The 27,354-nt window shown below is 47.2% G+C and overlaps 1 protein-coding gene across 4 annotated transcripts in view, besides 2 other annotated features; it reads left to right on the top strand.

Moving 5' to 3' along the window:
* CDYL2 (chromodomain Y like 2) overlaps positions 1-23,872 on the top strand; it is a 207,131-nt gene extending 183,259 nt beyond the window's left edge. For all 4 annotated transcript variants that reach the window (XM_011522866.2, NM_152342.4, XM_011522867.3 and 1 more), the window contains exons 4-7: positions 844-1,016; positions 8,943-9,153; positions 13,544-13,687; positions 17,233-23,872. In XM_011522866.2, the coding sequence (XP_011521168.1) occupies positions 844-1,016; positions 8,943-9,153; positions 13,544-13,687; positions 17,233-17,391 (687 nt within the window). In that variant the 3' untranslated portion in view covers positions 17,392-23,872. The remainder of the gene's footprint in view (positions 1-843; positions 1,017-8,942; positions 9,154-13,543; positions 13,688-17,232) is intronic.
* Positions 13,089-13,589: an enhancer, noted in NCBI's record as "H3K4me1 hESC enhancer chr16:80642087-80642587 (GRCh37/hg19 assembly coordinates)". NCBI's record gives its function as "activates a minimal SCP1, AML or CMV promoter by ChIP-STARR-seq in primed H9 embryonic stem cells {active_cell/tissue: H9 hESC(primed)}" and the evidence as "EXISTENCE:reporter gene assay evidence [ECO:0000049][PMID:30033119]".
* Positions 13,590-14,090: an enhancer, noted in NCBI's record as "H3K4me1 hESC enhancer chr16:80641586-80642086 (GRCh37/hg19 assembly coordinates)". NCBI's record gives its function as "activates a minimal SCP1, AML or CMV promoter by ChIP-STARR-seq in primed H9 embryonic stem cells {active_cell/tissue: H9 hESC(primed)}" and the evidence as "EXISTENCE:reporter gene assay evidence [ECO:0000049][PMID:30033119]".
* Positions 23,873-27,354: the final 3,482 nt, after the last annotated feature.

The following is a 27,354-nucleotide window of genomic DNA, read 5'->3' as shown; positions in this document are numbered from 1 at the left end:
CAGGAGATTAGGGGAACTTGTCCCATGATGGCAGGGTGGCCAGCACAGTTCTTCCATGTCAGATGGCACCTTTACTGGCATGAAGAGGAGGAACAAAATGCCTTTTATCCAGAATTCATCACTACCTCCCAGGAATGTGAACCTGCAGGTGGCCATAGCATAACCTTTCCTTTCATTTATTCTTCACTGGAGGCCTTGAGAGTGGGTCCACCCACTTATAGATGGGGACATTGAGGATGAATAACCAGCATGGCTCAGGTCCCATGGCTAGTAAGGTGCAGAGCCAGAATTTGGACCAGGGGCTTGGAACTCCAGTGGGACACTGAACCCAGGTCTGGATCTGATGCCAAAGCCCACTTGCCATGTGGCACCTGCAGGCCGTGCGGGGTATGAGCTGGAGGAAAGATGAGCAAGGATGTATAATAATTAAATTGAGTCATCTAGAGATGGCTTACATCCCTCACTTGGGCTGTGCATGGATTTTTTCCACATCTTGTAAAGGGCTAAATAAGCAAATGCCAGAACAAGATTTGCAGAGATTTACCAAGGATTGAGTGACTCCAGGCCAGGCTTCCAGATCTGCAGCCAGTGACCACACTGCCTCCTTATTAGCACTCTTCTGCCTTCTCCGGGGATGGTGCTGGAGGGCTTTGGCTATGATAAGTGTTTTTCTCCTTGCTCTGGACTCTTGCTTGTACTCAGGGGAGGCTCCCTGCACAGGCAGAAGCAGATTCCCTGGCCTCTACCCTCAGGGGGTCAGGCCTCTGGCTGTCTTGCAGTCTGAAAGCCCCAGGCTTACAGGATAGACACTTAACATCCCTGCAAATTCATCTCTGCCGGCAGATCATGAAAGAAGTCCGGCGAGCGCTCTGCAACGCAGCCACAGACGACAGCAAACTGCTGCTCCTCAGCGCAGTGGGGAGCGTGTTCTGCAGCGGCCTGGATTATTCCTACCTAATTGGCCGGTTGTCCAGCGACCGGCGAAAGGAGAGCACTCGGATTGCAGAAGCCATCAGGTGAGCTGTGCTCCTTTTCACACACCCTGGGGTCCTGCGTAGGATTACCAAGTAAAAATACAGGCTGCTCAGTTAAATTCGAATTTCAAACAACCAGGAATTTTATTTTTAGCATAAGTATATCCTGTGCAATACTCGAGGTCTGCTTACATTTTTAAAATGTTGGTTATTTATCTGAAATTCAAATTTTAATTGGGCATCCTATATTTTCATCTCTAACCATGGTCCTGCCAAAATTAGGGATGCTTTGCCCTCTAGGTTAGATCCCACTTTCATTCTTTTGATCGGAAAGATTTTTTATTTGCTATCAAGGCCTGAGTCTGGTAGTGGCCATGTGTTGTCCACACTACTCCCGCCCCTTGCCTGATGGGGAGAGTCTCTGGTTGTCTGGTTGTTTGTATGTCCCAGCACTGCCGTAGCTCAGCAGTGGGGAGGTTGATGGAGGGGTTCCCTGGGCAGCTGTGTGTTTGCAGACCCAACGGGGTACAGAGTATTTCCCCCTTTCTAATTGCCCCTGGGCAAAAGTTGGGATCCTGGCGGTGACATCCAGTCCCAACAATGAGTACCCTTTTGGGACACTGAAGGGTAGTTATTTCCCCATTCTTTATCAGTATATCAAAAGCAAGTGAGTGTCATTTCTAGACACTACGGCTGTTTAGCTGGTTTACAGCTGTCACCCAGTGTTCACCTGGCGGGTGCTGCTGTATCTTGCTTAGGAATCAGACAAGTCACAATTCAGGAATGCCCCTGGTCACATGAGAAGGAACATTTACTCCACATGGTGTCACGGAGCCTCAGGCCACAAGTCAGGGATTTTCTGGGGCCTCCAGTCTCTATGGTTCTGTGGAGGGGCCACACAGAGGGAGGCTGATTCCCACGTGGCTATAGGGGGCTTTGAGGGGTTGCTTTGTCTCTAAGAGGTGATGCTAGGATGCTCTTGTGTGTGGAATTCTGAGTCCCTCTTCAGGGTGAAGCAGCCATTGGAGCCCCTGCTCCGAAATACCCGTGTGTTTCCTGTTGCAGAATCCTTGCCAGAAGAGACATGACGAGCCTGGGCACTGTTATGTGAAAGGTGTTGTGGTTATGGAGGCACAGGCTTCCTGGCTGTGCCCACACAGTTTGCGCTTTGCGTGGTCCCAGCTATGCCCTCTCACTACTGCCTTTCCATGTATCAAAGGGGGACCACAGGATTTCCAGCGTGCTTCTCTCGTCATGCATGAGGCCACCAGAGCCCATCCAGAGAAACAAGTGCCCATTTTTGTGACCCGTGGAGCGTCAATCATGGTCTTTATCTGGTTTACACATTTCAGTGGAGGTGTTAGCTGGATTTCCAGAAGTCCAGGGAAACCTGGCTGACACAGCCCCTCGTTTTCACTCCATGCACGAGCAGCTCATTAGCATGCAGACCCCTTGTAGTGAGTTGAAGTGTGGCCCCCAAAAGATATGTCCACGTGCCAATCCCTGGAACCTGTGGAGGTGACCGTATTTGGAAAAAGGCTCTTTGCAGATGTGATTAAGTTCAGAGTCCTGAGGTGAGATCATCCTGGATTGGAGTGTGGGCTCCAGACGCAGAGAGAACTTATTTCATAAGAGGGGACACAGAGACAGGAGAAGGTAATGTGACAGAAAGGGAGAGCGTAGAGTCATGCAGCCTCAAGCCAAGGAACTCCAAGAATGGCCAGCAGCCACCAGAAACTGGGAGCGAGGCCTGACACAGCTTCTCCGTCAGAACTTCCAGAAGGAACCAGCCCTGCCAACACCTTGAGTTTGGAGTTCTGGTCTCCAGAACTATGAGAGAATACCTTTTGATTGTTTTAAACTGCCAAGTTTGTGGTGACTGTTCCCTGGGAAACTAATACAGCCTGGAAGGAAATCATTAGCAGCTCAAAGAGCCCCATCTTTTCAGGCTCTCCTCTTAGGCAAGGGCCCATCCTGACCTCTGCCCAACGTCCTCAATGGCTGCTCCTTCTGGTGGGCAGCTCTTCACCTTTGCTGGATGGGGTCTGTTAACAGATTATCCTGGACAGCTGCAGGCAAGGTGGGACTCCCAGGCCAGCCCTGGGTTGACGGTGATGAGGCTTGTCCCAGCCTGGGGAGGGCGTGGGGATCCTTCTTGCATGCAGGAATAAGGTATTGTAGCTGGGTCACTGAAGGGATGGAAGCTGAACAGAAACAGGGTACCCAGGGGGTCAGGTCTCATGATGGATTTCCCCAGAGCCCCCACCGAATGGTTCCTTCCTGTGGCTTTGCACGCCCAGTCTCTCTGGTGAGGGAAGTGTCTCCTTGACCTATCCCTGCATTTGTGTCTTAGATGTATCAAAGCTGAGGGGCAAAACCTCTTCTCCTGTCCCCATAGCCTCTACCCATTGGGGTCTGCTGCGTGGTATCTGTGCGTCTCTGGACTCTTGAGAACCAAATTCATGGAGAAAGAGGTGTCAGAGGCAGATGGGATTGAAAACATCAGCTGTAGGAGAACGTGGCTGGGGCCTGAGGCCCAAACTGGCTCCTGACTTTCCCAGCTGAGTAGTTCTGGGGAAACATGACTAGTGGAATTCAGACATTTGCCATCTCAGCGGGCAAGTGAGCTCCCCTTAGGCAGAGCACAGGGCAAGATGGCGGAGGCAGGAGGAATTCTTCTCGATGCTTCAAAGGGAGCAGAAGTTGCTAGTTCATGAACTAGCAAGGATGGGGGCGTGGGAAAGGAGATGTCCCCTGGACCACTGGTTCTCAGCCCTGACAGCACAGAGAGGCCCAAGGGAGCATTCCCAAGACCCTGATGCTTGGCAACACCCCCAGGGGACTCTGAGTTATTTAGGCTGAGGTGGGGCCAGCGCATCTTTTGATGTCAGTCGTCCTTGGTGGTTCTCAGGTGCAGCCAGGGTTGAGAACACCCGCCCTATGCTAACCAGATTTCTGCACCACTGATTGAGAGCACTAAGAGAAACGCAAGATTCTTATTTTTATGCAAGAGAGTAAAGGTGGTTATTAAGGGGATGAGTATGAGGAAAGAGGTGATACAGGCATGAGAAAGGTGAGGACGATGAGCGAAGATGGATGGAAGTGCAGAAGATGCGGCGTGTAGAGACAGATGCTCCCGGGGTTAGAAAGAGACTGTGGCTCGCCCATCAGCACCAAACTCTTTTAAGGCATCTCCAGCTCTCCCAACTCGGGAGTGCTGCCTTGGAGGCCACACTCTGGAGTTGGGGACACAAGGTGGCAGTGAAGCATTCTGCACAGAACGTTTTGTGGATTTCCAGAGGGGTGTCCTGAGAGAAGCGCACTGTCATTGAAAGGAGCTTGATTCATACTGCAAGTTCTGTGCCTGCTCCTGTGGACTTTCTAGGTGTATTAGCATACTTACAAGAAGTCTCTTGTGAAAGAACTTCCTTCAAAATCTAGCAGGGCTAAAACGTTGTTTGGACATAGAACTGCCACCATCTCTTCTCTTGGGACACGCTCCTGGTAGGGCTGACCAGGCATGCCGCATGGCCTTGGCACCCCGTGAGTGGTACTCTCACCCCCTCCTCATCCTTGCCTAAAGAAAACTTGCATACACGTGACTGGGACTGGTGACTGGGACGCATCACTCTGCAAATGTTTGATGAATGAACTAGCAGATTTGGGGAGAGCTCAGGTGAATTGTTCAGAAGGCTCTCTCCAGGATCCATCCTGAAAAGAGTCTGCCTCCTCTGAACTTGTCATAGGTGACAAGGTGGCTTGTTCAAACGTGGTATTCAGGAAAGCAGTGTTGGCTAGCAGCTGCCCACATGGCCCCTGGAAGCAGACCGCCTGAGCTCAAAGCTGCCTCTGCACTTGCTGGTGGTGGAGCTTTGGGTATGTCATGGATCTCTCTGTGCCTATTAGCTCATCCAGAAAATGGGAACAATCAAAATGATGGTACTGGCCTCACTGGTGTGTTGCTAGGATAAAGAATAAAAAGATACTCTGTGTGAAACACTCGGGCTATTCCTGGCACTAATATGTTCTTGGAGTTCTTATTATGGTTGTTGTCACTACTGCTGGTACTTCCAGCCATGACTTCTAGCTAAGCTGAGTCTAAGACCAGGGAGTGGGCGCCTGGACTAAGGGGTGGGTTGGAGACTAAGGAGTGGCCTGCCAGGGACCTCTCTGGGGGCCCCAGGATGGTGGTCACTGTTTGGTCCCGTACTGGCTGACTTGGCTCTGAGCTTTGGCTGGGGGAGGGTTCTCCTCCATGCCTCTGGTTAAAGGGAGTTGGGTAACTGGGTCACAGGAGAAATGCCGATTGCTCCAGGGGAAATTGAGGCACTCCTGTGAGCAGAATTTTGCTGCTGGGTCACCTGTAGCCTAGGAGAATGGATCACAGACCAATCTGAGAATTGAATGAGGACTCTGTCCACCCTCCCCAGCAGATGCACTACCCATAATAATAGCAGCAGGGATCGCGTGCTCCCTGCATGTCAGCACTGGGCTAGCACCCTGCATGGACCGTCTCCTTGGATTCTTATTCAGCTCCCTATCTGGGGCAACATCATTGATTTTCCCATTTTACAGAGGGAGAAAGTGAGGCTCCAGAGACCAGGCACCCTGTCCAAGGTCTCACCATTAGTTAGGGGCAGAACTGAGACTTCACTCTGAGTCTTTCAGATTCTGAAGTTGTTGCTCCTTCTGCCACATCAGTGCAGCCCAGCAGCTTTGTCAGGCAGAAGCCACAGGGGTCGGGTAGAGCAGAGGAAGCTGTGTGGGTCAGGTCAGCCTGATGGCCTTGGATGTGGGGGAAGGTGGCGTACAGTTTTCCCCACGCAGCCCCGCCATCGCAGAAGGATCAGATATCGGAGCTGCAGGGCCCGTAATGCAATATCCTGTTTGCTGCTTGGCTCCCAGTGATAGAGATCTACTGCCCGAGGTGAGAGAAAGAGGATGGGGGGTGGCCTTCATTAAACATCGGGTGACATTTTCATATCAAGGAAATGAAGTGCGAGGCAGATTGGATGACACAGGAGGGGCTGGGGCGGAGGGTCAGAGCTCTGCACGCCTGGTCCCCTTTCCCTTGCGTCCCTGATTCCGTTTCATGGATCTCAGGTTGGAAAACACAGAATGAAAGGCTCTGGGGTCCTGCAGAGGAAAGCTCTGGAAAGTCACAAGGGCTGCAGTCCATTCCTGAAGGATGTCATGTGGTTGATGGAGCTGAGGTGGCAACAGTATCAGAGAGGCTTACAGGAGACCCACAGCAGGGAGGCTGTCTTGACAGGCACGGACCCTCTTTTATTAAAAACGTCCAGCAGAGGCGGAATGATGCATCGTTGGAATGTTATGGAGGGAATTCTGCACCGAGTGGAAGATACGGTCCCATGAGTCCTAAAGTCCTTCCCACCTCTGAGATCTAAGACTCTGGAATTGTATGAGGTCACTCAGGAATGGGATGTTTGACAAAAATCATCCAAACCCCTAAGGATTCTCCAAAAAAGTCCATATCCCCCGCAGACCCCAAATTGCTTTCAGTGAAAAGCACTTGCAAAAACCAGTGACCTAACCGAAAACCTCACCATTAGGTTAGGAAGTGAGTGATGTCAGGAGATGGGCCACTGGAATACCAAGCTTCAGAAGTCATGGAGCCAGAACTCCCTCTCTGAAGTAGTACCTTTTGGGGGCCAGCAGGGACTGAGAGCTAACTCCACCATCTTAGGGAATGTGATGCCTCAAGCATGAGTCAGAGGCACGTACTTTTATGATGACTTACATAGATCGTAAGATACCTTCTACCCCCGCAGAACATTAAGTAGACTTCTCGCAGTTGAATCTGATCCCAGTATATCATTATGATATCCACAACTTTTGATAAGACTTGGGGGAAGGAACAGTATTGATTGAGAAGAGATAAATCAGCTCAACTTTTTTTTTTTTTTTTTTTTTTCTCCCTGAGACAGAGTCTCACTCTGTTTCCCAGGCTGGAATGCAGTGGCCCGATCTCGGCTCACTACAACCTCCACCTCCTGGGTTCATGCAATCCTCCTGCCTCAGCCTCCCAAGTAGCTGGGACTACAGGCATCTGCCACCACACCCAGCTAATTTTTGTATTTTTAGTAGAGATGGGGTTTCACCATATTGGCCAGGCTGGTCTAGAACTCCTGACCTTGTGATCCATCCACCTCGGCCTCCCACACTGCTGGGATTACAGGCGTGAATGACCATGCCCAGCCTCGACTTTTGTATTAGTTAAGTATTAGCTGTTGTAACAAGTAAGCCTCATATATAGTAATGTACTTCTCACATACATGAACCTAAAATAGATGTCACCATCAGCCTGTGGCTGTCTTCCCATTGGTGACTCAGGAACCTAGACTTCTTCCATCTTGTGGCTCGGCAAATGTCTTCCAAGACTGCTGTGCCCATCAAGATGAATGGGCTTGGAGGACGCCATGGTGGGAGGTTTGATGTGCACCTGGAAGTGGTACTGGTGGGTTTTTGCTCACATCCTGTTTGGCCAGCACTTGGTGACTTGGCCACAGCCACATGCAGTCGGAGACGGGAAATGTGGCCGGCCAGCAGACCTGGGAAGAAGAGGGAAAACAGGTTTGGTGAAGAGCTGGTTCACCATTGCCACACCTCTGCAGTCTTTGTTCTTGTTCTGGGAGACTCATGTATTTGCTCAACAGCTGTTTACTGAGTGCTAATTCCAATATTGATGGAAGCCAAGCGGTGCCCCAGGCAGACCTCTGGGTGTCCTTAAGGAGCTAAAGGGGAAGAAGAATCCAAAAACAAGCAAATAGTTAGGGTGATTGCAAATTCTGATAATGGTGTTTTTCTGAGAACTCTCAGAGGCCCATGTGGCTCATGCACAGTGAGCAGGGGCAAGAGTGATGTGAGGGAAACCTGGAGAGGTAAGCTGAGGCAGGTCAAGGTCAGGCCAAGGTCAGACCAACGTAATGGGCATTTGGATTTTATTCTTGTGAGTTCTTATAGTTTCTAATCTTTCCTCTGAAAGTAACGAAGGATGCAGACTTTACTAGACATCTTGTGTCTTTCCTCCATGTCCAGATGAATATTAAAATTTTATAGATCATACATAGCAACTAGGAAAAGGCAAAAAGCCTTCTGAGGCAAAGGAAATACAGGTCATTGTTGATGGCTCTGTGTAATTGGTAAAGGTACATGCCTTGCTCAGTGCAGAAGGGCAGGGAGAGAAAATATTGCCCAGTCTTGTAGCCAGGATTGTAGCTCCTTCCTACAGGGAACCCAATTTTAGTCAGAGCCATCCTAACATATTCAGCATTTTAGAACCACCCTTGATGAGTCTGGCATCCCTGCAGGTAATTCAGAATCAGACCATCCTAGGTGTGATTTTTGAAAGAAAAATGTCATCAATCCCAACATGTACCCACCATCTGAAGCTTGAAGTCCCTCTACAGCATCACCCAGCATAATCATTGAGCTAAAATGCAAATACCTCCAGGAATGAGGAATTCATACCCCACAAAGCCACTCCATTCACCTTTGGCCAGAGATGTTAGAACATTCTTTCTCTCTTTGAGTTGAAATATGCCTCCCTGTTACACCTTCCCTGTGGTTCTGCTTCTGCACCTTAACATTCAGGTTGACTTCCTTAGGATATATAGAAATTCTGTCAATATCTAGGGTGCCCATATAACTTACTGTGTAAGCTATGGCTTTTGAGAGTGGAAGGAGATGGTAACTGGGTGCAGTGCTAGGACATGGGGCATGAACTGGGGCAATCTGAGCAAACCAGGACATGCAGTGACCCCATCAGTATACCTCAGAAAATCTGACAGCTGGTGGTTCCATGTCCAGGCAATGAGGCCCTTGCCTGGCACCTCTAACCTCTGACGACCTGAGGGTGCTCCTCACAGCACCTGGGAGAGTCAAGGGTTCCAGTGGGGCTTAGCATGCTATAGTCACCTGTTCAAGAGGATCTTCTTTCTCTCCCAGGGACTTTGTGAAGGCCTTTATCCAGTTTAAGAAGCCTATCGTGGTGGCCATCAATGGGCCGGCCCTGGGCCTGGGTGCCTCCATCCTGCCCCTCTGTGACATCGTGTGGGCCAGTGAGAAGGCCTGGTTCCAGACGCCCTACGCCACCATCCGCCTCACGCCTGCTGGCTGCTCCTCCTACACCTTCCCCCAGATCCTGGGCGTCGCGCTGGTAAGCCTCCTGTGATACCTGGATTCGGGTCCCAGCAGGATCCTTCCTCTGCCTTGGGTTTAGGGGCTCTTCATGGGGCTAGAAACCTGAGGGTGTTGTCAGCCTGCAGATTGGCTTGGCTGCCTCATGTCCTTCACACCTTCAGTGCCAGATGGAGTAGCCCGGCCTGAGAAGATGGCGATGATGTCAGTGTATGGACCATGCACTCTGCATGGCGTCTCAATTATTCCTCACTCCAACCCCCTGAAGGCGTGTCTTAGGATTGGCTGGGTGCTGTGACAAGCAGCCCACGGTCTCAGTGGCTTTAACAACAAAACTTGCCTTCATCCTCTTGAGTGGTCCAGCATAGGTGTAGGGGCCACCCACACTCTCTGGGGACCCAGGTGTCTCCCGTCCAGTAAATGTGCCCTCACTTCCAGCCAATGGGAGAGAAGAGAGAGCCAGAAGCATCACCCTGGAGGGCTTCATGGGCCAGGCCGGCAGGGGCGTCTTCCCCTCCACTCATGTGGTATTGGCCATGACTCAGCTTCTGGTCACATGCGCCTGCAAGGGAGGCCGGGAGACGCAGCCCAGCGCATGTCCAGCAAGAAGAGGGAAAGGATTCAGTGGACACAAAGCAGTCTCCACCCCATGTGGAAACGATTGCGATTTCCATCTTACAGATGGAACGTTAAGCTCAGAGAAGTCGTGTCACCAGGTGGGGCAGACAGAGCCACTGTCCAACAGAGGCGGCGGAGTCCACTGTAAGCTGTGGTCAGATTCTGCACCAACATCCAGAAGCAAGTCTGGACAGGGGAGAGCACTGATGACAGCTGGCACGTAGGAAGCACTTGCTGTGTGCTGGGCTGGGCTGTCAACGCCGTCCACGCCCCTGTGAGGCAGGACAGCTGTGATCCCCATTTTGCGGATGTGGAGACTGAGGCTAGAGAGGTTTAGTGAGTTGTCTAAAGGCATGCAGTGGTAGTGCCAGTTGTGGGATTTGAGCACGAACTGGCTGGTTCCACTGTCTGTGCTCCGAACCCAGCCTGTTATTAAATAGGTCCCACATCTGAGGGGTTAATCTGAGATTAGCTGTCAGGACCAGGGAGGGGTTCAGAACATGTAGCTGGTCCGAGTAGGCGTTGGAGGCACCACGCTGCTGGGTCTGGGCTTCCTTTGACGGCTCCTCCCCTGTGGACTCTCAGGCAGCCTCTGCTGTTCAGAGCAGCCACAAACTCTGAATTCAGCTCTGATGGGCTAATCCTTATTTCATAAGCACGGGTCCCATCTGGATCTCAGAAGGTTCTCAGGGAGTCCCCTCCTTCCAGCCCCCTCTAGCCAGTCAGCTCCCTTTTTCCTCTCCCTTTCTTCAAATACTGCAAATCCACTAAGTGCCCGGCTCGCCACACCCACCAGGAGTGCAGGGGTGAACAAAAACCCTGCTCTTCAGACCTTCTATTCCCCAGCTCTCTGTCTTGGAAGGAGGTCCCACCTTGTTCAGAGAGGACCCCTTTGAGCAGGTGACATTTGAACAGACGCAAGAATTCCAGGCAGAGGATGCATGAAGGGAAGAACAGGGTAGGGAGTGGGCCTGGCAGGCCCTGGGTTGAGAGTGGTCAGGTCAGTGTGGCTGGGGCCTGGTGAGGATGGTGGGGAGAGGGCGAGGGATGAGGCCATGGCAGTGGCGTGGAGTGGCCCCTGCGAGCCTGGCATGCCGGGGAGGGTGCTGGGCCTTCTGTGTTGTGCCTGCCTCAGCAAGGTCTGCCCGGGGTCCACTGGGGGCATCTGCCAGCAGATGTCATAGGTCATAGGAGACCCACAAAAGTGCCAGAGAAGCACCCCTTAGGTGACAGGGCCAAACTCTACAACCCCAGAGAAAAAGCCGAGTGCTGGCTCCCGGCCCTGCAAAGTGTGCTGGGAGCTTGGTGCTGTCATCATGCCTCTTGGACAGCAGAGAAGATTGTGGCTTTGTGACGTTAAGTGACTTGCCCAGAGTCACATGCCAGTGACTAAACTCTGTTTATGTTCTTGTTTTCTTAGCTCTAGCATGGGTTTTTTGTTAATTTTATGGGTCTTCACCAGGGACACCCTACCTCTGCCCAAGAATCTCCTTTCTCTCTGAGTCCTTAGGCTTCTGGATAATACCCTTAAGTTCCCTCTTCAAAAGAGAGCAGTCCATTGTGGCCCCACGGCTATTGTGAATTGTTCCTTTTTAGGAACAGACTCCAGGATGTTTCTTTTGATGTCTTGATTTTATCGGAAGGTCAACACCCACCTTTGACATTACTCTCATGCTCTTGAGGCAGCTCCGCACATTCTCAGGACTGTGGCTGTTGCACCTAGGCAAGCACCTGTGGAAGGGCAGGTGCTTTTACACTGGATTTCTTCCTCGTCTTCCTTTGCAGTTCCATCCCCCATTGTTTCCATCTGAGGGCCTGCAAGCCCATTCTTCTCATCTCTCAAGTCCTGCTTTTGTTGCAATAGTGAGGCTGATAAGCATTGTCCCTTTTCCTTCCTTGATATTCCCCCTTGTTCTGTTTTGAAAATAACATCACCAACCATACAAAAATAGCAAATTTTTGCTACCCCTTCTGCACTACCAGGCCCTGTTCTAAGCACCTCTCAGTTAACCTTGCCTCTGTGCTGGGAGCTTGGTGCTGTCATGATGCCTCCTGGACAGCAGAGAAGATTGAGGCTTTGTGACGTTAAGTGACTTGCCCAGAGTCACACGTCAGTGACTAAACTATGTTTATGTTCGTTTTCTTAGCTCTAGAGTGGGTTGTTTGTTAATTTTATGGGTCTTTACCAGGGACACCCTACCTCCACCCAAGAATCCCCCTTTCTCTCTGAATCCTTAGGCTTCTGGATAATACCCCTAAGTTCTCTCTTCAAAGAGGGCACTGCAGGGTATGGTGTCTGAGGGGTGGCCAGGAGCCTTTCCGTATGAATGGGGGCCTCGCCTTGTAACTCACACCTGCCAGGGAGTAGCTTCCAGTGGATCTGAATCCAGGTTCATTGGAGCAGATATGGCCATTTGCCCCTTCTCCCAGCGAACTTCTGCTGAGTTCATTTGACTGAGGTGTTCTTCAGAAAGTATCAAGTCCTCCATTTGTGTTCAAATCTTGAACCAAGCAAGCATATGCTAAGACTTATTATCGACATAAAAGATTGCCCTCTACTCTGGCGTGAAAGATTGTCCTCTGGGTCATCACGAACCATCAGTGACACAACCAGAACTCAGTGGGGGAACTTACGCATAGCTCTGGAGGCCTGAGAGTGCCTGGCATTTCAGCGTCAACCCGAGAGGAGCTAGCATGTAGAGGCAGGAGAGAAGAGCAGGTGGGGAAGGCGTTGCCGGCCGTGCGGACCCTATCACATGGATTTGACCATTATGCCCTAATTATCAGTCACTGTCTGTCAGTTGCAGCTCATTACTATCATGTTCTCTGTCTGTGCAGGACTTTATCTATATAGCTCCTCCCAGACCTTGTATGACAGCTGAAAATTTCAAAGCAAAAGGAAATTCTCTGGGGAGTGTGGTACAGAGATATCCCAGGTCACCAGACCCCAGGGAAGATTGCTCTCTGCCCTTCAAGACTGGGCAGTGCCCTTGCCCAGCCCTGAGCTGCTTGGAGAGATGCACGTCTCTGCCTTGGTATTGTGGTGTTATTCACGACCTTTTTGGCTGCCAGTGATGGAAGTGCTTTAACCAGTTTAATTTTTAAAAAAGGAGCTTAATGGTTCTCCCAGCTGGAAAGCAGAAGTGGCAGTTCCCTTGGGGAGACAGGGCTGGGGAATTCAAGTACCATCAGGTCTCTCTCTCTTTCTCTTAATCTTTCTCTCTCTCTCTCTCTTCCCCTATTTCTCCTTTCCTTGTAGCCCCACCTCTCCACAGGCCGGGACACAGCCATGGATGGTCCTTGGGCTCACTGATGTTAGCCTGCAGTCACAGAGGAAGAAAGACTTTTCCACCACACCTGCAGCTGGAAACCCCACTTGAGCTTTATTATCTAGAAGGGAGCATCTCTTTCTCCCTGGGCTGTTGTGGGCTGTGTGCATTTCAGTGCCAATGATGTCATCACGGCTGGGTCATCGGCTCTGAAATCTTCCCAACCCACAACCCATGCCCATGGGTCTGCCACCAGAAATGGGGAGGGGTGTGGGGCATACAGAGTCACAGTAAATACACAGCTCCTTTGGGGAATTTAATGAAAGCTGTGGACCTTCTGCTCATGCACACGAACATTTCCATACAATTCCCAAAGCTTATCTGACCCCAAAATAAGATAAGGATCTGGAAGGCAAGATGCCTTCCAGAACTGGGATGGTTGCAGGTGGCAAGCCCTGGACCAGCTGAGGGACATGGGTGGACCTCCAGGCCCTCAGTCTTTGCCTGCTTTTGCTTTTTCAGGCCAATGAGATGCTGTTCTGTGGGCGGAAGCTCACCGCCCAGGAGGCCTGCAGCAGGGGGCTGGTGTCGCAGGTCTTCTGGCCCACCACGTTCAGCCAGGAGGTCATGCTGCGGGTCAAGGAGATGGCATCCTGCAGTGCCGTGGTGAGTTCCTGCGCCTCCTGCGTGCTTGTCCTTTTGATAGACCCATTTTACACATGAAGACAGCAAGGCTCAGAGGGCTTCACTGACTTGCTAGAGGTCGCACAGGGAATAAGCAAAAGACCCTTTGCAATTTAACAAATGCCTTTTCTCAGTATTGACAGCTTCAATCAGAGGGAGACAGTCAGCATTATTACAAATTGTCCATCATCTCCAGGCAGAGAAACCTCACAGGAGAGATGGATACTCTAGGGTAGCGTCACTGCTTTCAAAGAAAGTCCTAAACACCACAAAAACGCAAAACATCTATAGCTTTCAAAGAAACGAGAAGCAGCGGCCAATAAGGATAAAAAGTATTGAACCCATCCGGAAGATGACTAGAGAAAGCTGTACACACCATGCCTCTATTTCATTTGTTTTCTCCACCGACTGCTCGTCACATTTAAATGTCACTGTTTGAAGATGCACTGAAAAATACATAAACAAATAACACCTCTGCAGAGGCAGTGGTTTTTAATTAAGTGTTGATTTTATCTCATAACAGTCACTCAGAGCGCGGCAGGGGAATATCCTGTGGGAAGGTGGAGACAAGGCCACTCCTGCGGCCCCAGGGCTGGTTCCAGAGCTGAGAGAGGCATTTTGGGAGATTGAGGCTCTAGGACTCGCTCTGTGCTTGAGAAACAGGGAGCTGCTGCGTGCATTTTTGGGGCCAGACCCTTGCCCCTCCCTTCCTTGTCTCCCTGTGCCTGTGTTCACACCCGGCTGTCATGCTTCTCATCCCTGACTGTTGGCACCTACTGTGTTTAAGTCTTTCTCCTGCTGGGCCTCATCCCTGACTGTTGGCACCTACTGTGTTTAAGTCTTGCCCCCTGCAAGCTGAACAGACAGTGCTCGCGGGGTGAGGGTGACGGTGGGGGGTGGCGGTCTCCAGGTTGTTAGTCAACACTCACGCGGGCCACGAGCATTTCTGATCTCTTCACGTGGATTCTCTTTTAATCTTACTAATGACTAGGGTCACCAATTTGCCCCACCTTGTCTGGGACTCTCCTGGTGTGAGGACTGAAAATCCTGCATCCCAGGAAACCCTATTGTTCTCACGCTGCTGATAAAGACATACCCGAGACTGGGTAATTTATAAAGAAAAGGAGGTTGAATAGATTCACTGTTCCATGTGGCTGGGGAGGCCTCACAATCATGGCGGAAGGCCAAAGGCATGTCTTACATGGCGGCAGACAAGACAGAAGTGACAACCAAGTGAAAGGGGAAACCCCTTATAAAATCATCAGATCTCTTGAGACTTCTTCACTACCAGGAGAACAGTGTGGGGGAAACTGCCCCCGTCATTGAATTATCTCCCACAGGGTCCCTCCCACAACATGTGGGAACTATGGGAGCTACAATTCAAGATGAGATTTGGGTTGGGACACAGGCAAACCATATGCCCCTTAGTTGTGGGCAAACAGGGGTGGTTGATCACCCTGGGGTTAGCTTCATGGAGAGACAGGTAGAAATTCTAAGCAGAGGAAGTGGCAAGAGTGAGGGCACTCAAGACAGGAAATCCACAGGGAGTGTAGGCAGCAGTGTGCAGTCAGGTGGCACGGGGATGCTAGGAAACATGTGACTGAAAAGGAGGGTGGGAGACTGGCCTGCAAGCTGCATGGAGGGGGTTGGCCTGTTCTGTGGCAGGGAAGAGAGGCTCAGGTGAAACCAAGTGTTGAAGGACACCTGAGGGTACAGGCTCTTAGGACAAGGAATACTGCAAGGAGGTCTCTGCTGCCAAAAGCTGTGAATTCAGGAATGCTGGGGGGGTTTCCCAAGAAAGGAACTACTCCAGCAGAGTAAGGCCCATGGCCTCTGGGAGACGGTGCTCTTCGAGGCCATTCCAGGGGGAAAGAGCCAGCTGGGTCTGGCAGCTCATCCCACCACCTGCAGCCTCTAGCCCAGGCAGGGGAGTGAGGGTGCAGCCCCTCCCAGTCTGCTGGAGCCAGGGAGCTGCCATCTTGCTTCTTTCTGTTTGAGGGCATTTCAGGAGAGGCTGGTGGAGGCCAGCGAAGAATGCACGAAGGCCTCACTTCTGGCTGTAACGTCTGCCAGAGGGCGGCAGCAGCAGCGTGGCTGTTGGAATCAGCCAGACCAGGTTTTCCTGCTCCCTCTACCCATGAGTGGTCAGGCAGCCCTGGGCCACTTTACATCATGGAGCTTTGGGTTCTGCATCTGTAACATGGGGATCAAAAGACTACTTACTTGCAGGGTTATCATGAGAAGTAAATGAAAGAATTCAGGAAAAGTATTTCTCTTAGATCCTGTTGGATAATGGTGATCATAGTGGCATTATTATAGTTATTACAAATATTACTACAATCATTACTCATTACTATTATTAGTATTACTATTACTGTTATGAATTTTTACTCACTACTATGATTATTACTATTGTTACTGTGATTATTGCTCATTACTAAGACTATTACTATGATTATTGTTCATTAATATGATTACTGTTACTATGATTATTACTATTGTTACTATGATTATTGCTCATTGCTGTGATTATTATTGCTATTGTTACTATGATTATTGCTCTTTGTTGTGACTATTATTACTATGATTATTGCTCATTACTATGATGATGGTAGTAATCATCATAGTAACACTGTGGGATTAATACTATATTTACATAATATGTATATATTATATATAATACATATACATAATTATATATTATACATATACATAATATAATATGTATATATTATAGTGTATATACATATATACATGTGTTTACCTATATACATATGTGTTTATACGTATATATAATGTATATAATACATAATATGTGTATATACGTAATACTTTAGTAATGAATAATCATAGATCATTTATGATCATTTATCATAGCTGTGGACAGCAGCTACTACATTTATAACCATGATTACTATGATCATTATTACTCATTACTACAATTATTACTATGGCTGTGATGATTGTTATTCATTCCTATGATTTTTACTCTTTACTATAATGATTATGAAGGTGATAGCCTTGAGTGTTATTAGTTGTTACTACCATGATTACTAACATTGTAGCCTGAACACGGGGCATTGCTCTCAGGGTGAGTTGTATGTGACAACCATTCGTTCATTTCATCGTCTTATTCTGTGTTCTCAGTGATCCTTGAGTTATTGCCAACAGATCATGAAAATGAATCACGGGAGGTTAAAACAGTGTCTCCCACACTTTTTCATGACACCTATAGAAAAGGACTCTGTGTTTGTATCACCATTGGGCAACAGGCAAGCCTCTAGTGGTCTGGGGTGACATGGGCCCCACTGAGCCATCCCAGGGCCTCACAGTGTTCACGTCTTGACACATCTGGGATCCATTCATGGCCGTGCTGGAAACATGGGACTGGGAAGGCCCAGGCTGGAGGAGGCAGCCTTCTCTGGCTGTGAGTATGGGAGGTTGGCCAGTGCCCCATGGGCCAGGTACCTAGTTCTGGAGCAGAGTCCCTGGTGCCCGGCTAATCAGGCCTGTCTATTTCCCTCTAGGTGTTAGAGGAGTCCAAATGCCTCGTGCGGAGCTTCCTGAAATCAGTGCTGGAAGACGTGAACGAGAAGGAATGCCTCATGCTCAAGCAGCTCTGGAGCTCCTCCAAAGGCCTTGACTCCCTTTTCAGCTACCTGCAGGACAAAATTTATGAAGTCTGAGGGGCCCCAGCTCACGGGCCCCCAACTTCCAGCTCTGCCCTGTGTTTCGGAAACCAGAGCACAGTGTCTGCCCCGGCCAAGGAGTTTGTCAAGGTGTCTCTTTATACGTAGGGTTGTGTCCATTTCCTCGTGTCCTTTGGTTGCTCCTCCTTGGTTTGATTTTGTGTAATGGATGGAAAACGCAGCATACTTGGCCTCCCCCACCTCCCTGCCCTTCCTGGCCAGAGAGCTGTCCAAGGCTGTATCTTCCCAGGGCTCCGCCAAGCACCGCTGTCCTTTCCCCACTTGCTGAAATGCACCATGACGGTCCAGGAAGGGGAAGACCACTTTCACATTCTTCTGACTCAGGCTGTGTCTACACAGTGCCTCTGACTTGGAGACTTGGCCATCATGGCTCTCTCTGGTTGTATTTAGATCGGGTGTCAGAGGACGACCAATCTTAGGGAATTTCCAGACCAATGAGCAAAATGATTGTGCACACCTGGCCTCAGTCTCCTTTCCGACGCAAATCTGTGTGACTATTAGGGCTTGGTCTTAAAACCCAATTGAGTGATTTGCAAACCCAGATATTGTACATTTAGAAATGTTTTGTTAAATATATATTTTTAAAACAATGTAAGTGGAAATTCTGATAATTTATGTGTATTATATGTAAAGCTAGTTTTGCAAAAACAAACTACTAGGGAAATGTTTTTTCTTTCCTTGGACTTGTTTTATTTATTTATTTTTGTTTATATATTGTGATGTCTGTTGTTCACACAGATACTATTTTCATACTACCCTGGACCAAATCCCACACAAGGTTCATGCCGTTTGGTGCATTCTAGCAATGAACCATGTAGAAATAAAGTTTAGAGAGATGAAAACAGAAGGATTTCTGTGGACAAAAGGAATAGCGCTGCACCTCTGTGTAAAACGGTTCTCAGCTGTAATAATAGAATACTAGTTCCTTAGGTTTGTCCTTAGGAGACATCTTGGGAGAGTTTTTTCTTCCCTCTGCTGTCTTTAAGGAGTTAAAGGGCCCTCTTAGCCTGAATGATCCTGAAACAGACCCAGTCCCAAATTGCGTGATGTTGGGCAGGAGTGGGGATAGGCCCTACCTGAGAATAGCATACTGTCTAGAATAAGACTTCTTTCTTTGGGGCAAATGACTGAACTTGGATCCTGCAGTCTGTTGCTTCCATGTGATCAGTGATTTCTGGTATTGGCCAGGGGGATGGGGAAGAGTTCCCACTCTGCTGAGCTGTCTGGAGGTCTGAATCTTTTCCCTCCAGAAGCTGAAATGACTCATCTGTTTTCTAGTTTTTTTATGTACATAGGGAGCAATGACCAGGAATGAGATCTCCTTGCCCCTGTGCCCCTGGGCTGCAAGGGGACTCCAGCAGCTGTGTTAGACCATCAGATTCAAGTCCCTGGATTAACTACAGAGAAGGAGGGATTGGGGGTTGTGGTTTTGAGTGGTGAGGAGAAAGTTCAGGAAAACCTGAAGTTGAGAGCAGACAAATGGAAGGGATGTGTTCTGCGTGAGGTTTAAACCATGGGTCAAGCACCCAGAAAAAGCTAGATTCTCAGATTCTCAGGATGGAGGGATTTTTTTCCGTTTCTATCACAGCCCCTGCGTATTCCTGGAGGCCCTTGGCCCTCCCCTTCTTCCCCTTTCCTGTTGGGCACCAGCCTTTCTTGGCCCTTCTTTGAAGAGAGTGGAATAAGGCAGCAAGAAGTGGGCACAGCTTATGGAGGTGAGGCAGGCTTAGAAGAGAGAGTTCTGGTGACAGTTCTCTAACTCTCTGTGGTCCTTTATCTTTTCCTGGCAATCAGGTGCACTGGGCAGGGCAGGTGGAATGTATTCGTGGCCCTGAGCTTTGAGTTTCAAAGAACACGTTGATAGTCTACACCAGATCTAGAGACATGGTCCTTTAAGCAGTGACCCTCAAGTTAATCTGGACTGCTGGTCCTTCTGATGACCTTGGTTCCCTCCCTGGAAAGCGTGTCTCCTTTAAGAGTTCATGAGGGTCAGGAAGGAGGGGAAACCTCTCCTTCAGCCAGAGGAGGATGGAATTAAAGTCCTGTGCACCCTCCCCTTTGTCCATGTAGGATCCTGTAAGGACTTCGGACCTGTCCTACAGGGAGTTACTATAGGGAGACACCTGCTTTTGCCCAAATGCCTGTTGTCACAGCTCTATCTGGATCTTATCTCCTCCTTTGAGAAAGCAAATGTGAGCTTTCCAAAACCCTTAGATGACCCTGGTTCTTACATATTGTGGCAGACAGTGTCTTCACTACTGCTAAATTTTCATTAGAAAGAGCCCCCTCTTTTCTGTTGAACTTCTGATTGGGCGCAGTTATATTCAGCATCGGTTGAAGTGGGGTCAGGATTCTCCTTGGACATGGAAGGGGATGTTTAGAAATTCCTTTAGATCAGTGTCCACCTTCATTCCCTGCTTGAAAGAACTAGAAATGCTTCAGCTTTGGATGTACTATCAAATCCAAACTTCTAAACATTTCAAGGATCTCTGAAGATTAAGGTAGGAATGTGAAACCATTTCTAAGGTGGAAATCTTGCTGTTAAGTCACAGGTCCTGGGTGTAACGGGGGTGGTGAAAGTCTGTATTTTGGTTGTTTCCATACAGTCAGTTCCACCAATTGGGTGAAAGCAGGTGAAATCTTTTTGCTGCAGGGTGGACTGAATTTTTCACTTTCTGGGTAGTTGTTTTGATCATGTGTAGGCGAATTCCAGGTAACTTACAGCAAATAGATTTGGGATGGAAAATACCAGACCTCTGGTTGTGTCAGGGTTTATCCTAATAGCTTTCCTGAGACAGAGCTCAGACTTTCATTTTTGATCTTCCACCCCAGGGCCCCCTCTCTGTCTATGGGATCCTTTCTCCCCTCTCTCTACCATTTTCCCGTACCTTCCCCCATAAGTCACTCCCAAGAGCCTGGGCAGGTCTTTGAGGAATTGCGGCTCATTTTGGCAGCCCCGTCCTGCAATTACCTTTGGGTTTGAAAGAATAGCTGTGGGTGGGCAATTGAGGACACCTCTTTAGTCAGGGACCTTTCTAGCAATCCACTCCCTCCCATCCTGTTAGCCATGCAGTGGAACTCTCCTTCCCTCTCTGCCCCAACCCCGGTGATGGCTCACTCTCAGCATCTTATGGGACCATCTGAGTTAACAACCCTGTTCCAAGAAGACTTTGTGCAGAACTTTTGTTAGGGTGGTCATACCTTCTCACCACCATTTGGAAGACACAGCCTAATGCTGATGTACTTAATGTGCCCCTTCCGGCATAGAAATAATGTCTGGGTAACAGCCATCAAAATCACTAAGAATGACATTGGATAGCTATGAGAAAGTAGTAGAGAATTGATTTAAAATATCATTCTTGTTTGGTATAGATTAAACTAGGAAATGTTCTCTCTGAAGCATGAAAATGTTTTTCCCATGTGAAGTTTAGTACAAGGATGGAAAAATAATAATCACAGTAGACTTTGAACAATGCAACTGTATCTCTGAATATCCACATTTAAAAATAGCCTTCACTGAATGCTGAATTGCATTTCCCATTAATTTTTGGTTTTAAAAATTTTGTAAACTTTTTTTTTATTTGGAATTTAGTCACATCCATTAAATTTTCCAATCTAGTTTCTGTGGAAATTTTTTAACAGAGAGAAACAAATAGAAACATCTTCAAATCTTCCTAAGTGAATATTTAAAATGCAGAATTGCTTATCTTCTGTTTTTCTGTATTCAGACACTTATATCTGTTGTATATATTAGTTTAGACACTCTCACTAATATACACAGTATTTAAGACTCTAAATGAGATTTCTTAAGTATTTTATTTTATTCTCTGTAAATGGTTTTGTATAATCTTTAAACATCTACACTTTGCCTTTGTAGATATTTAAGGGAAACCATTTGGGGTTGTCTTGCATGTATATTTTTGTTGTAGATAAGTGTTGCTTAGTTATTTCTGCAAATTTTGGTTGAAATGCTTACAGACTTTAATACAGTATATATTTTCAAAATATAAACTTTTATATTTCTGTGATAAGTTAGGATATGCGTTTTAGGCAATATTTTTCATTAATATCACTTGTTCTTTTGAAAAATAGCATACTGGTTTGGTGCCAATTTTTTCATTAGAATATAATGCTCTTATATTGTTGGAGAGCAGGTTAATCTTTTTTCGAAGTAATTGCGTTTGAAGTATAATTTCAAAATGTATTGAATTTGTGAATAAGCCTTACCATTAGGATCAGTAAATTTTTCAACTTTGCAACTACATAAGTAGTTTAAGATCTCCCCGTAAATTCTCACTGTGTGGCAGTTGATGGAGTTTGTGAACAGAGCCTTAAGCTTGTTGCAAAAAAATTTAAAAAGGGTAATACGGGTTGTTTCCTCCATGCAACGTAAGCCATGCTGATGGACTGAATGCAGTCTGTAATTCATGGCTAATCCGAAGAGTTTGATTGAGTTGATGGCGGCAGGGACCAGATAGACACCTTGGTGATTGTCTTTGGCCATAAGAATAGACCAAGGATAGGTTTTCCAGAGACACCTTCATACTGTAAACATGGTTTAGACACGGTCATAGGGAAGGCTGCTGGTCCATCATTTGTTCTGAACAAATGGCATTTCCTGCTCCTGACCCTGGCAGTTGGCCCCAGATTCCTTGTCGATGACTTGGAAACGTCCATTCTGGGTAAGGTCAGCACTCCCTGAGAGATGTTAACAAAGTTTACCTATGAGTCTTACTGTGTAGACAATCTGAAGTCAATTTTAGTTACACAATCAGCATTCCCATGTGTCCTCAGTGTCTTATCAATGAACTATGTGTATCAAGCCATACTAAACTGGAGTTTAGCAGGACAAAGGCAAACTAAATGTAGAACATAACATATCAGCTGAATATGTCTATCCAGGACTGTTTTTCTAGAACATAAATCATGGAGCTCCTTGACAGTGTATCCACTGTTTTTGGGGTTTAATAAAACCAACTAGAATTTAGACTTAAAAAGAAATTATTATTCCTTTTGGTTGTCCACATAAAGTAGTCCAGGGCTATCATATGGCTAAAATCAAGTTATTTGGTTCATCTCTGGTATGTATTTATAAAGTCAACTTATCAGCCATTAAGATGGAGATTTGCTTTAAATTTTTGCAGTGTGTGTGGCAGTCAGAAAAACCCATATCTAGTTTTCAACTTCACCTCTGGTGTTTTTATGGCTTAACCTTATATCATTGATCCAACATCTAGCCTGATGCTGGAGCTCTTATTTCTAGCCTGATGCTGGAGCTCTTATATCTAGCCTGATGCTGGAGCTCTTGAAGCTGACTCTTGGAAGTTTGGAGGGTGTAGAGTTTCCCATCTAGTATTTAATTTGTCCCTGTGCCATTAGTCCCAGCTTGAAGTCATTTGCCAGTGTCGATGTTGACAGGATTGTGACAATATTGCCTTTCATAAAACCGAGAACCAAAGAATTCCATTATTCTAACAAAGCCTGAGTTTCATAGATTGTGGGCACATCTAGACAGATATGTGCATGCTTGATGGTGCAGAGAAACTGCTGACTTCCACCAACCTCATGCTCCCCCTGGCTGGCCATACAGAGGGATTCGTTGTCATATTGAAAAGGCTCTGAAAGATGAGTTTCTAATTGAAGCTCACTATCTCAGGTTGGTGTTTCTACTGTGTAGTCCCAAGCCTGTATCCATATCATAAAAGTGGAGGCCTGGTACTCCTCCAGGTTATCTGGCCAGTGTAGACTCCTCCATCTGAATATGAACCTCCAGGGTAAGAATTTTTCAGACATGTCTATACTGAACAGTAGGATCCTGCACTTTCCAAATGTCTGCCTCCTTTTGTTCTTCATTGACCCATTCTAATTCCTGTTAGGTGTGAGAAGAATTGTCTTCAGTTCTCTCTCCATTCTCATTCATGATGGAATCATTGATCCATTGACCAGTTGAGAAATGATTGATGCTGAAGAAGTGGTATTCTATTGGTAAGGCTTATTACCAAACTTCCGATAATGAAGCAGGCTACCAAAAACTTATCCAGCCCACCCTAGGAGTGTTTGGATTTGATCATGGATGTAGCATACACCAAAATCCACCGAGACCTTTGCAAAATTAGGCTACTTGTTTTATTTTGCCAGATTATCATGGGAGAGTCTTTAACTAGTTCTGAATATTTGTAAGTCTGAGTACTTCATAGAATTATAAAGAAGGTACAGCTGACCCCTTCTCACCATGTTGTAAATATTTACTGAGACTGGGTGCAGTACTGAGGGATAATAATCTTCTGATTTATCAAATCCTGACTGTCTAGAGCAAATTGTACACTCTCTTTGTGAATGGTCCTGTAACGTGTATGAACACATTTCTGGGTGCCTTAGAAGTTGTATTTTTCATGTGTGCTAATATGCAGTATTTATACATTGTGAGAAGCTGCTTTGAATAAAAAGGTTGAAACTTCGTCTGCATTTGCTTGTGTTCCCCGTTTTGCAGGCTGCACATAAAGTTCATGAGTAGATTCTGTGGTTTCTGAGCAGAGAAGTTTTTGGGGGCCTTCTAGCGGTTGAGACATCTGATATTTCTAGGTTGTGCCTGTGTTTCTAGGGAGCAGAGGCATCTGAATTTGGTGCCTCTGCTCCCTAGAAACTACCCAGATTTGGCCAGGAGGCTTCAGTTATTCAGGAAGACAGTCACTAGGTGGGAGCAACAGCTTGATGCCAGAGGATCCCAGAACTGGGGGGCACAGGAGTGATTTTTTGGGGGGTTGATATCAGCATTTATCCCTTCCCTGATATTTCCAGAATGTTTCCTTGTACCAGGGGCTCCCTCCTCAACTAAAGATGAACCTCTCTGGAGCTCGAGCTTGGACAATCCCAGCTGCCACACCTTTGTCACTATGGACTTACACAAAGTTCTTTCACATACATGCTCTCATTGCTTTGATCATCACAATATGGCTCTTAGGAGTGGCACCCTGGTGAGGACCCTTGGTTTCTAGGGCCTGGCCTCAGAAACATTGTGAGGGCTGCCGAAAAGAATGATAGGAAGTCTTTCAGGGATTTGTGGTAATAGGGGATTCTTGGAAAAGGATTTACACAAGTTCATCTACCCTTCCTCCCATCCATCCTATCAGTCTGTCAGTCCAGCATCCAACCATTCATTGATCCATCCATCCACCCATCCATTAATCCATCTGTCCTGTTTGTCCATCATCCAACCATCCATGCATCTGCCATTCTTCCATCCATCCTATCCATCTATCTGTCCATCATCCATCCATCTATCCACCATCCTTCTGTTCATCTCTCCACCCATTCTTCTATTCATCCTGTTTATTCACCTGCCTTTCCATCCAACCATCTGCCCATCTGCCATCCTTCCATCCACCCATCCTATCCATGTCTATCATCCAACCATCCATCCGTCATTCTTCTGTTCATTCGTTTGTCCACCCATTCATTCATCCATCCATCCATTCATCCATCCATCCTATCTATTCATCTGGCTGTCTGTTATCCAACCATCCATCCTATCTGTTCATCTGTCTATCATCCAACCATCTGTCTGCCATCCTTTTATTCATTTTACAACCCATATCCATCCGTCCATCTACCCATCCATCCATCCACCCATCCATTCATCCATCTATCCTGTCCATTTGTCCATCATCCAACCGTTCATGTGTCTGCCATTCTTCCATCTATCCATCCATCCATTTCTATCTATCCATCTATCCGTTATTCATCCATCATCCTTCTGTTCCTCCATCTGTCCACCCATTCTTCCATCCATCCTGTCGATTCACCTATCATCCAACCATCTGTCCATCGGCCATCCTTCCATCCATCCATCCTATCCATCCATCTGTCAATCATCCAACCATCCATTCATCTGTAATTCTTTTATTCATCTATTTATCCACCCATTTATCCATCCTATCTGTTCATCTGTCTGTCCATAATCCAAATATTCACCTGTCATTCTGTCATTCTTCCATCTATCCTATCTATTTGTCCATCTGCCCATCGTCCATCCATCATCCTTTTATCCATCCATCCATCCATCCATATATCATCCTTCCATTCATCCATACATTATCCTTCCATCCGTCATCCATCCATCCATCTATCTGTTTGTTCATCCATTCTTCCATCCATTCAGTAATGGCTAATGGGCCCCCTGCTCTGTCTCAGGAGCTGCACAGGTGCTGGGGAATCATGAGATTACTCAGACAGCCCCAGTCATACAGGAGCTTGGAGTCTAGTAATGTGAGAAGGGTGGGTAATCTGCCATGATTCTTGACATGTCTACAGTACAGTGCTGGAGAGAACATCTTACACAATTATGAACACTTAGAGTCTAGAAGACGGTGCCACGTTAATTTTTCATATTCTCCATACTTTTCGGTCTGTGGGGAAGCCATAATTGGATGGAGCTCAGGATTTTACCTCTGCTGGCCTCCCTTTCCTTTTTGCTTTCTGTTGTTCTTGGTGTTATCATTGTTGTTTTGTGTGACTGTTTTCCCCTTCTCTAAAGACCTGATTCCATCTTAAGTAGTGAAGGTCAAAGCTGTGGGGTCCTTTGCTCCTAGATTCTTATGGCCCCTCCAATAGATTGGATGAGGTCTTTTTGATGTTTCAGAGTATAATATCTATAAGACAAACCCTCCTTATTTCAATTATCTCTCACTTGCTAGCTTTGATGTGACATTATGCTGAAAGAACCCCTCCCCCAATAGGGGAGATAAAAGTTAAGAACAAAGAGAGTGAAGTGGGCTGAGACCCCACATCCATCAGATATATCAGTAATTAAATGATCAAGCAGTATATTGAATAAGCAGTAATGGAGTGCAATCACAAAAGCAACTTGATTTGCCTCTCACTGTCCCTTTAAGTCTGTTTAATGGGAGTAGTCCTTCCCTAACCCTGAATGAAATCTTGATGGGTTTCAGGACCTTTCTCTCATTCATACGTAAGAGTTACTAGTCACAAACACAGTCTCAATTCAATAATCAAAAATGACTATTTTCCACATAAGAATCATTGCTCCCAACTTCATTTAAAGTGTCTAATCCTTGCTGCCTTTTCTGCACTGGGAAAAGCAGGAAAGATCTTCTGTGACTGGTGCTGTTGACAGGTGGGGCTTTTCACTCTCTGAGCCTCATAGGTGTTTATACCTGACTCTCTCACATAGTGAAATTGTATGAGGTTTTAGTGACCTCCCTCAGTTGATGGTGGGCAGTCCTCTATAATTGCCAGATGAACCCTATGTCATCAGCTATTCCTTCAGCTCCTAGGAGTCTGGTTGTCCACTGTCAGCTTTTCCAGTTCATCTCTGTTGACCCCTTTAGGGCAAGACAGTCCCCAGGCCAGTTCTTTGCCATGCCACACCACATGTGGTTCATGGGAAACACTCATGCATCCTCTGTCCAAACTGATGCAAGGGATTTCTCAGGCATGAGTCAGACACCAATCTACTATGTCCTCCAAGTTTTGGGAGGTATATGTAAGGCCCCATTCTTCAACCTGAGATGAAGGGGGAGACCTCTTTCCTTGCTTTATGGGTGTGTGTGTGTAATAGTGGGTAGCATAGTTCTCTGTAATGGAGTCCTCTTAACAAACCCTTCTTAATAAATGTGAGATACACAAATTACATCTAAAAATTATGCAGGCATTAGAAAGTGGTGATTTCAATGTGGTGGCATTCTCCATATGAGAGACACGCTGTAGGGCTTTGTAGGCTGTGACAATGACTTGAGCTTTCTCTCCAACTGAGATGGCAGACCCTGGAGGGTGCAGAGAGGAGTGCCTGGGCTGACTTGTGCTTTAACAAATTTCCTCCATGTAAATAGACAAAAGCCAGTGATGGCAGGAGCAAGGTCAATAACATGAGACTCTTGGGATTGTCCATCTGCACCTCGACAGAGGCTTGAATTTAATCAG

The sequence above is a fragment of the Homo sapiens genome, chromosome 16, assembly GCF_000001405.40.
Source record: "Homo sapiens chromosome 16, GRCh38.p14 Primary Assembly".
Classification (NCBI taxonomy): domain Eukaryota; kingdom Metazoa; phylum Chordata; class Mammalia; order Primates; family Hominidae; genus Homo; species Homo sapiens.
Note: the sequence above shows the minus strand (reverse complement) of the source record. Positions and strands in the feature narration are given on the sequence as shown.